The sequence below is a fragment of the Homo sapiens genome, chromosome 11 (genome assembly GCF_000001405.40).
Source record: "Homo sapiens chromosome 11, GRCh38.p14 Primary Assembly".
NCBI classification, from domain to species: domain Eukaryota; kingdom Metazoa; phylum Chordata; class Mammalia; order Primates; family Hominidae; genus Homo; species Homo sapiens.
This window is the reverse complement of record NC_000011.10, coordinates 109,072,557-109,084,010: the sequence shown is the minus strand read 5'-3', so window position 1 is coordinate 109,084,010 and position 11,454 is coordinate 109,072,557. Positions and strand designations below refer to the sequence as shown.

General features: G+C 41.9%; 1 annotated feature.

Annotated features, from left to right (window-relative positions):
• Positions 7,702 to 7,902: a silencer, noted in NCBI's record as "peak1460 fragment used in MPRA reporter construct". NCBI's record gives its function as "represses an SCP1 promoter by STARR-seq MPRAs in K562 erythroleukemia cells {active_cell/tissue: K562}" and the evidence as "EXISTENCE:reporter gene assay evidence [ECO:0000049][PMID:32103011]".

The window sequence follows — 11,454 nt, the reverse complement described above, 5'->3', positions numbered from 1 at the left end:
GATCAGGGAGTTCCCTTTCCTAGTCAAAGAAAGGGGTGACAGACGGTACCTGGAAAATCAGGTCACTCCCACCCTAATACTGCGCTTTTCCAACAGGCTTAAAAAATGGCACACCAGGAGATTATATCCCGCACCTGGCTTGGAGGGTCCTACGTCCATGGAGTCTCATTGATTGCTAGTACAGCAGTCTGAAATCAAACTGCAAGGCGGCAGCGAGGCTGGTGGAGGGGCGCCCGCCATTGCCCAGGCTTGCTTAGGTAAACAAAGCAGCTGGGAAGCTCGAACTGGGTGGAGCCCACCACAGCTCAAGGAGGCCTGCCTGCCTCTGTAGGCTCCACCTCTGGGGGCAGGGCACAGACAAACAAAAAGACAGCAGTAACCTCTGCAGACATAAATGTCCCTGTCTGACAGCTTTGAACAGAGCAGTGGTTCTCCCAGCATGCAGCTGGAGATCTGAGAATGGGCAGACTGCCTCCTCAAGTGGGTCCCTGACCCCTGACCCCCAAGCAGCCTAACTGGGAGGCACCCCCCATTAGGAGCAGACTGACACCTCACACGGCCAGGTACTCCTCTGAGACAAAACTTCCAGAGGAACGATCAGACAGCAGCATTCGCAGTTCACAAAAATCCGCTATTCTGCAGCCACTGCTGCTGGTACCCAGGCAAACAGGGTCTGGAGTGGACCTCTAACAAACTCCAACAGACTTGCAGCTGAGGCTCCTGTCTGTTGGAAGGAAAACTAACAAATAGAAAGGACATCCACACCAAAAACCCATCTGTACATCACCATCATCAAAGACCAAAAGTAGATAAAACCACAAAGATGGGGAAAAAACAGAGCAGAAAAACTGGAAACTCTAGAAAGCAGAGCACCTCTCCTCCTCCAAAGGAATGCAGCTCCTCACCAGCAATGGAACAAAGCTGGATGGAGAATGACTTTGACAAGTTGAGAGAAGAAGGCTTCAGATGATCAAACTACTCCGAGCTATAGGAGGAAATTCAAACCAAAGGCAAAGAAGTTGAAAACTTTGAAAAAAATTTAGATGAATGTATAACTAGAATAACCAATACAGAGAAGTGCTTAAAGGAGCTGATGGAGCTGAAAGCCAAGGCTTGAGAACTACGTGAAGAATGCAGAAGCCTCAGGAGCTGATGCAATCAACTGGAAGAAAGGGTATCAGTGATGGAAGATGAAATAAATGAAATGAAGCGAGAAGGGAAGTTTAGAGAAAAAAGAATAAAAAGAAATGAACAAAGCCTCCAAGAAATATGGGACTATGTGAAAAGACCAAATCTACGTCTGATTGGTGTACCTGAAAGTGATGGGGAGAATGGAACCAAGTTGGAAAACACTCTGCAGGATATTATCCAGGAGAACTTCCCCAATCTAGCAAGGCAGGCCAACATTCAGATTCAGGAAATACAGAGAACGCCACAAAGATACTCCTCGAGAAGAGAAACTCCAAGACACATAATTGTCAGATTCACCAAAGTTGAAATGAAGGAAAAATGTTAAGGGCAGCCAGAGAGAAAGGTCGGGTTACCCACAAAGGGAAGCCCATCAGACTAACAGTGGATCTCTCGGCAGAAACTCTACAAGCCAGAAGAGAGTGGGGGCCAATATTCAACATTCTTCAAGAAAAGAATTTTCAACCCAGAATGTCATATCCAGCCAAACTAAGCTTCATAAGTGAAGGAGAAATAAAATACTTTACAGACAAGCAAATGCTGAGAGATTTTGTTACCACCAGGCCTGGCCTAAAAGAGCTCCTGAAGGAAGCACTAAACATGGAAAGGAACGACCGGTACCAGCCACTGCAAAATCATGCCAAATTGTAAAGACCATCGAGGCTAGGAAGAAACTGCATCAACTAATGAGCAAAATAACCAGCTAACATTCATAATGACAGGACCAAATTCACACATAACAATATTAACTTTAACTGTAAATGGACTAAATGCACCAATTAAAAGACACAGACTGGCAAATTGGATAAAGAGTCAAGACCCATCAGTGTGCTGTATTCAGGAAACCCATCTCACGTGCAGAGACACACATAGGCTCAAAATAAAAGGATGGAGGAAGATCTACCAAGCAAATGGAAAACAAAAAAAGGCAGGGGTTGCAATCCTAGTCTCTGATAAAACAGACTTTAAACCAACAAAGATCAAAAGAGACAAGGCCATTACATAATGGTAAAGGGATCAATTCAACAAGAAGAGCTAACTATACTAAATATATATACACCCAATACAGGAGCACCCAGATTCATAAAGCAAGTCCTGAGTGACCTACAAAGAGACTTAGACTCCCACACAATAATAATGGGAGACTTTAACACCCCACTGTCAATATTAGACAGATCAACGAGACAGAAAGTTAACAAGGATACCCAGGAATTGAACTCAGCTCTGCACCAAGCGGACCTAATAGACATCTACAGAACTCTCCACCCCAAATCAACAGAATATACATTCTTTTCAGCACCACACCTATTCCAAAATTGACCACATAGTTGGAAGTAAAGCTCTCCTCAGCAAATGTAAAAGAACAGAAATTATAACAAACTGTCTCTCAGACCACAGTGCAATCAAACTAGAACTCAGGATTAAGAATCTCACTCAAAACCGCTCAACTACATGGAAACTGAACAACCTGCTCCTGAATGGGTACGGTACATAACGAAATGAAGGCAGAAACAAAGATGTTCTTTGAAACCAACGAGAACAAAGACACAACATACCAGAATCTCTGGGACACATTCAAAGCAGTGTGTACAGGGAAATTTATAGCACTAAATGCCCACAAGAGAAAGCAGGAAAGATCCAAAATTGACACCCTAACATCACAATTAAAAGAACTAGAAAAGCAAGAGCAAACACATTCAAAAGCTAGCAGAAGGCAAGAAATAACTAAAATCAGAGCAGAACTGAAGGAAATAGAGACATAAAAAAACCTTCAAAAAATTAATGAATCCAGGAGCTGGTTTTTTGAAAGGATCAACAAAATTGATAGACTGCTAGCAAGACTAATAAAGAAGAAAAGAGAGAAGAATCAAATAGACACAATAAAAAATGATAAAGGGGATATCACCACCGATCCCACAGAAATACAAACTACCATCAGAGAATACTACAAACACCTCTATGCAAATAAACTAGAAAATCTAGAAGAAATGGATAAATTCCTTGACACATACATCCTCCCAAGACTAAACCAGGAAGAAGTTGAATCTCCTAATAGACCAATAACAGGTTCTGAAATTGTGGCAATAATCAATAGCTTACAAACCATAGAGAGTCCAGGACCAGATGGATTCACAGCCGAATTCTACCAGAGGTACAAGGAGGAACTGGTACCATTCCTTCTGAAACTATTCCAATCAATAGAAAAAAAGGGAATCCTCCCTAACTCATTTTATGAGGCCAGCATCATCCTGATACCAAAGCCTGGCAGAGACACAACCAAAAAAGAGAATTTTAGACCAATATCCTTGATGAACATTGATGCAAAAATCCTCAATAAAATACTGGCAAACCGAATCCAGCAGCACAGCAAAAAGCTTATCCACTATGATCAAGTGGGCTTCATCCCTGGTATGCAAGGCTGGTTCAATATACACAAATCAATAAATGTAATCCAGATATAAACAGAACCAAAGACAAAAACCACATGGTTTTCTCAATAGATGCAGAAAAGGCCTTTGACAAAATTCAAAAACCCTTCATGCTAAAAACTCTCAATAAATTAGGTATTGATGGGACGTATCTCAAAATAATAAGAGCTATCTATGACAAACCCACAGCCAGTATCATACTGAATGGGCAAAAACGGGAAGCATTCCCTTTGAAAACTGGCACAAGACAGGGATGCCCTCTCTCACCACTCCTATTCAACATAGTGTTGGAAGTTCTGGCCAGGGCAATCAGGCAGGAGAAGGAAATAAAGGGTATTCAATTAGGAAAAGAAGAAGTCAAATTGTCCCTGTTTGCAGATGACATGATTGGATATCTAGAAAACCCCATTGTCTCAGCCCAAAATCTCCTTAAGCTGATAAGCAACTTCAGCAAAATCTCAGGATACAAAATCGATGTACAAAAATCACAAGCATTCTTATACACCAATAACAGACAGAGAGCCAAATCATGAGTGAACTCCCATTCACAATTGCTTCAAAGAGAATAAAATACCTAGGAATCCAGCTTACAAGGGATGTGAAGAACCTCTTCAAGGAGAACTACAAACCACTGCTCAATGAAATAAAAGAGGATACAAAGAAATGGAAGAACATTCCATGCTCATGAGTAGGAAGAATAAATATTGTGAAAATAGCCATACTGCCCAAGTTAATTTATAGATTCAGTGCCATCCCCATCAAGCTACCAATGACTTTCTTCCCAGAATTGGAAAAAACTACTTTAAAGTTCATATGGAACCAAAAAAGAGCCCATATCACCAAGTCAATCCTAATCCAAAAGAACAAAGCTGGAGGCATCACGCTACCTGACTTCAAACTATACTACAAGGCTACAGTAACCAAAGCAGCATGGTACTGGTACCAAAACAGAGATACAGATCAATGGAACAGAACAGAGCCCTCAGAAATAATGCCGCATATCTACAACTATCTGATCTTTGACAAACCTGAGAAAAACCAGCAATGGGGAAAGGGTTCCCTATTTAACACATGGTGCTGGGAAAACTGGCTAGCCATATGTAGAAAGCTGAAACTGGATCCCTTCCTTACACCTTATACAAAAATTAATTCAAGATGGATTAAAGACTTAAATGTTAGACCTAAAACCATAAAAACCCTAGAAGAAAACCTAGGCATTACCATTCAGGACATAGGCATGGGCAACAACTTCATGACAAACACCAAAAGCAATGGCAACAAAAGCCAAAATTGACAAATGGGATCTAATTAAACTAAAGAGCTTCTGCACAGCAAAAGAAACTACCATCAGAGTGAACAGGCAACCTACAAAATGGGAGAAAATTTTCACAACCTACTCATCTGACAAAGGGCTAATATCCAGAATCTACAATGAACTCAAACAAATTTATGAGAAAAAAACAAACAACCCCATCAAAAAGTGGGCAAAGGACATGAACAGACACTTCTCAAAAGAAGACATTTATGCAGCCAAAAAACACATGAAAAAATGCTCACCATCACTGGCCATCAGAGAAATGCAAATCAAAACCACAATGAGATATCATCTCACACCAGTTAGAATGGTGATCATTAAAAAGTCAGGAAACAACAGGTGCTGGAGAGGATGTGGAGAAATAGGAACCCTTTTACACTGTTGGTGGGACTGTAAACTAGTTCAACCATTGTGGAAGTCAGTGTGGCGATTCCTCAGGGATCTAGAACTAGAAATACCATTTGACCCAGCCATTCCATTACTGGGTATATACCCAAAGGACTATAAATCATGCTGCTATAAAGACACATGCACACGTATGTTTATTGCGGCACTACTCACAATAGCAAAGACTTGCAACCAACCCAAATGTCCAACAATGATAGACTGGATTAAGAAAATGTGGCACATATACACCACGGAATACTATGCAGCCATAAAAAAGGATGAGTTCATGTCCTTTGTAGGGACATGGATGAAACTGGAAATCATCATTCTCAGTAAACTATCGCAAGGACAAAAAACCAAACACCACATGTTCTCGCTCATAGGTGGGTATTGAACGATGAGAACACATGGACACAGGAAGGGGAATATCACACTCTGGGGCCTGTTGTGGGGTTGGGGGAGGAGGGAGGGATAGCATTAGGAGATATACCTAATGTTAAATGACAAGTTACTGGGTGCAGCACACCAGCATGGCACATGTATACATATGTAATTAACCTGCACATTGTGCACATGTACCCTAAAACTTAAAGTATAATAATAATAAAATAAAATAAAATAAAAAAGAAATAATGAATAAGCTCTCATCTCTAAGTACCTACTGTAGGCCAAATACAATGCTAGGAACTTAATAAAAAGGTACATTGATTGATGCTTTAAAATCCAGATAATTTGAGGTTAATTTTCTGATCCCTTCCAAGTTCCTTGATACTATGCCACCTAAGGAGCTTTTTAGAGACTTTAAAAAATGTTTCCCTAGGCCTTAGACCCTCCAGGTACAGTGGAAAAAGAATTAGGTTCTTATGCCAGTTTCACTGCTAACTTGCCTTGGGCCAAGTCTAAGTCACAAAAACATTCAAACTCTCAGCTTCCTCTTCTGTCCTGTGGACTTACTCTTTCCTCCCCTGCCTCTTTCATGAGATGGTGGGAGGAGTCAATGAACTAACACCTGTGAAATCACTTTGAAATACTGTCTCAGTGGTGACAAGCCAGCACTCAGCCAAGAGGGGGATTTCATTGGAATCAGGATTTCTGATTCAGCCTGGCTTCCTAAGCCATTTCTACATCAATCAGCTGTCACTGCTCCTTCTCCTCAAACCATGTGAATTTTAAAAGCCAGCACAAGCTCATCTGGAATTCACATACCCCATCTTCAAACAGACAAGGACAATGCGAAATTGGAAATACAGGAAGATGGCAGGTGGCACTGCGCTCTCTGAAAAATGAGCACTGTAGAAACAGCTCTGCTTCTTCCCAGGATGCCTGATGTCGTGGGTGATTTGTAATGCTTTCCCTGAAAAGCCCTCATCCCCATGAACACATTTTAAAGATAGAAATCAATCTTACAGTATGACAGGGAGAGAAAAATCTGTCAGGAAAAATGAAGAGGAGAAAAACCACCTAATTCTAGAATCCTTCCTACTAAATAAATGGGTTCCAGAGAAGTAAGACTGGACCTATATTTTTCCATCATGCTTGCCATTTACTGAGCAGCTGCAAGAGGTGAGATTGAAAAGAGAGATAGTCTGGCCAGCCCCACCAGCTTTTTCATCATAATAATTTAGGCTGGATGCCAGTCCTGGCATTTTGTACTAGGTCAGAGTTTGCCTATATACAACAAAGAACTAAAGCTCCTACAGGATCATTTACAACTACACACTATGAAACATTGCTCATTATTACACAAGGGATCAGCTGTCGCCATACCTTGGAGCATTTGTGATCTTTAACATAAGGCAGCAACACATCGAGGTTTAATTTAACCCCCAGACCAAGATAAACTCTGCTTCCCAGACCCTCAGAACCTGGAGAATAACATCACTATGAGGCATACTAAAGCCCATAGCTGCAAATCACCACACGACTCATTGCAGGGAGCACCCAGCCAGTGTCAGGTTAAAGTTATCCAATCAGGCAGAAATCAGGAAGGGGTACTACATAAAGCCAGCAAAGTGGAGGGAAGGAGACAAAAGGGGTATAGTAAGGGAGTTAGAAAGGCACTTCCATGAAGAAAAGTCTAAAGCTGATTTCCACCAGAGCAAGTTTACTCACTGAACAGTCCTCTTGCTCTTTTCTTGCTAGAATATCCATAGCCTCTTACAGTGTCCCCTTGCATTATGGAAAGTTTCAGGAAAGTTTCAAAAGCTGCCTGAAAAACAGTTCTCATTCTAAAGCGGGTGTCCAGGAGCAGTGTTGCCTTCCGCCCTATCCTCTCCTTAAATCTCATCTCTGGCCCACTCCTGAGAAATCAAGTGGGCAAATGAGCTGCACTCTTTCCCAGGGCCCTTCTGGCCCTATCTATGTCTTAGGAGCTTCTCTCCTGAAAAAAAAAAATCAATCCACAGCTGGCCTGGGAGGAAGAGATAATGTGAGAGCTCACAGTGGGTCAGTGATTCAGTAAAAAGCCAGAGAGCTGTTGGCTGGGAAATGTCGGAGACATCTGGGCAGGAGCTGGAAAGCAAGCACACTGGGCTGTCTTCTCCTGACACCAGATAGAGCCTGGCCCTGGGGAGTTGCCCGGCCATGTGTCCTATGTACCAAGAAGCCAAGATACTAAGACTTGGGATTTCTGTAAAATGCAGTCATGAAAGAGGGAGGCAGCTGAGACTGGATGTGAAGAAGGAGCACATTATTGCAATGCTGTGGTGACTTGAGAAAAATCAGAGACATTGTAAAAGCCTTTTGGAACACCCTGGCAATCACAGACAAAGCACATCAAGCTCATGAAGAGACGGAAAACATGACATAAATACCTTCCATCTAAGACAATACCTATCCTGGCAAACTCCATCCTCGCCCCTTTAAGCTCTGCATTTCAATTCTCTAACTTCCAAGATCAAAAACAAGTCAAGATAGCACAAACTGACTGTCTTCACTGTAGTGATCCGCATCCTGTGGGAGATCAATGCATGTCAAAAGAATTGAATGTATCACTGCAAATAGTAATTCAGAAACTGGAGAGAGAAGGTTTTATATATAAAAAAGAGAAACCACAATTTCAGTCACAAGCACCTTTTCCAAGTGCCTCTGCTGGTAATATAAGCAGGAGCTCCAAGTAGCAATTAAATGTGTTATCTACGAGCTTCCAAGTCAAGACGTCTCTTCAATAAGGTATGAGAGCCTACTTGAAATAATTTGAGATCCATCTCTGACACTAGTAAGCTTTGCATTTTAAAATTATTCTTCCCATAGTCCGCAGATATTCTTTAACCAACCCAAAAGTCAAGAACATTACATTGCACATTTGTGGGAAGAATCAAGATGGCTGAATAAGAAAAAAATACACTCCCCAGAAGCTAGCAAAGGCAGCCATTAGACTCAATCGGAATTGTAGTAAAAAGGTGTCTAAGTGGAGAAATTCAGTCCTAAAGGCCTTACTATAGAGGATAAAGAAGAAAATGTAGAGTCAGACCCAGGCTTGAATTTCGGCAGTGTTAACAGCAAGGGGCAGTAACTCCTGATCCCAGCCCAAAGCCCTTCAGTTCTTAGGCTCAAGTGTAGCAGGTTGAAGCCAAGTTGCCTCGAAGTAAAAACATAAGCTTTGGACCTTGCTTCAAACTCCAGCTCCATCTGTGAATAAGTTGCTTCCCTCTCTGAATCCGTTCCCTTCTTTTACTATCAGGGTCAATGGCCCTATTTCAGGAGCTAGGATGATGAATGGATGAGGGAAATATGTGTAAATCCCTTAGCACAATGTCTAGCACATCAGTTCTCTCCCACACTTCGGGGCCATACATAGAGAATGTAGATAAAGTTGTTGATATTTAGTGGAAAGAGTACTGGGTTAACAATTAGTGACCTTGCTCTCAACTAGCTCTGGAATCTTGAAGAAGTCACCTTACTTCCCATCACACGCAAAATAAACTAAAGAATCTCAGAGATTATCCTCTGGCAATAAGGGAATTCAGATTCAAAGATACAAATAGATGAAGATGCTAGAAGGCATTGTATCTAGGGTTATACAGAGATATCAGCCTTGGGATCTACCAGAATTGCTGGACAAGATTAGCATTTCTGACCAATTCAGGATCTGAAGAATCTAGATCAAACAGGACTACCTTGTATTGTATCCAAAGGCAACTGGGGAGCAAGGAAAGGAGAACAGGAGAATAGAGAGAATCCTCCTTCTCTGAGATTATGGCTGCAAATTTCAGGTAGAAGCTCTCTTCCAACCAAGATAGACTTGAAAGCACTGAGTCACTTTGACTCTAACTAGCTAAGCAATCAGACTTTGTAATGAAGCACCTAGGTGTTCCCCACATGTGGTAGATAGGCAGGGCAGGAGCATCAGAGAAGGAAGGTGAAAAGCAGCAGCCAGCTTTGAGATGTGGCTTCCAACTCACCTGCAACACACACACACACACACACACACACACACACACACACACACACACACTTATGCCTGCCCCTTATGCCTGGGCAGGGATCCATGACCCTGATTCACATGTTATATGTTCCTCCTCCCCATCAGCCAACCTAAACCCTGTCTAAAGTAGCAGTGTCTCGTTTAGGACCAATGAGAGGGCTTGAGCAACTCAGGCAGGCATGGGCACATGGGCCCAGCTGGGCTGAAGATGTCACACTTTGTTCTTCAAAGTGACTGATTGGACCTCAAGAATAAATGTCCCACAAAGAAAATACATTTAACATCATGGCACAAAAATTAAGAGAGAAGTGACTTTCCCCTACACTTTGCACCTCTCCACACATAAATGCATGCAAACACCTACCCATTGACCAACAGAAATATCACACTGGGACTATTTCCAAAGAGTCTCTGAAAAGTCATTAAGTATTTTGTAAAATACTTCACAAAGAGACAAGTCTTGCCAGCCATCCTTGATGATCTGTCTCCCTAAAATAACTCCAATCCCAGCAGCCTCCCAGGTGCTGGTAGGTAGACAGTGCCACAGTCAGCTCAATCTCTGCGGAGGCCCAGCCTATTTGATGCTGCACATATATGCACTGCCTTCACTTTCATCATCCTTCACACCTACTCTACCCATCCATGTCTCTGCCTGGCCAGTCCCTACTCATTCTTGAATGTCAGTATAAATGTCTCTTCCTGCACAAAGCCCTTGGTGAGTCCCCAGGTTGGTTTCAGTACCCTTTCTATGTGTGTCTTCACCTACACGGGCATTAGTTGACACCATTGTAGTTGTGCATTGACTTGTCTATCTTCACTAAACTGTAGGTTCCTTGAGGACAGAGAATATGTCTCCAGCACTTAACACAGTGTTGGCATATAGAAGTGCTCAATAAATATTTGTTTAATGAATGAGTGAATCCAAACCAGATTAATGGTTGGGATAAAAAACTACTCAGGTCTACTGAGGAACAAACCAATAAACCTGGTGAAAGGGAAGTGGAAGTACCCAGGCACAAAAACCAGGTACTCTCCCTAGAGTTCACAATGAGCCAGCTAGGTGACTGTAAGACCCAGAGATCGGTTCTGCTGAATATGCAATATCAGAGGGCAGAGTAAAGAGTAACAAAGCCAAACCAGTTGTTCCTTGTAAGAAAAGAGAGAAGAAAACCGACACTTAAAGAATACCTATCAGTACCCCTTTTAAGCCAGAAAAGAACTTACAAGTTATTATCACCTTCTCACAGACAAGAAAAATCATGCTCAGAGAGGTAAATAACATGTCAAGTAAATAGCAAAGTTGGTATTGGAACTTGGACCTGCTGATGCCAGAGTTCACACTTTATTTTACTCTATCTTATTGTTTCTGAATTTTCCACAGATTTGGATGTCCATTTCTACATTCTGGGAAATCAGATGGTAGGTAGAAAGCTGGGTACCCTGGAAGCTGTGGCATTTGACATGCAGTAGTGGCACTGAATCAATGAGCAGATGAACAGGCATTCACTATGGTCTGCAAAGGGCTCGCATTGCCAAAGATCTTCTTGTCTTTGAAAACAACTTCAAAGAAAAAGAATAAAGTTCAGAGAAGGGAATGCAAAGGATAATGAGAAGAGAGGGGAGAGTCAAGAAAGCCTCCTCCAGATGGATGACATACGAAAAACATTATATGAAAACATCACAGTGAACACCCAATCTCTCACTGAAAA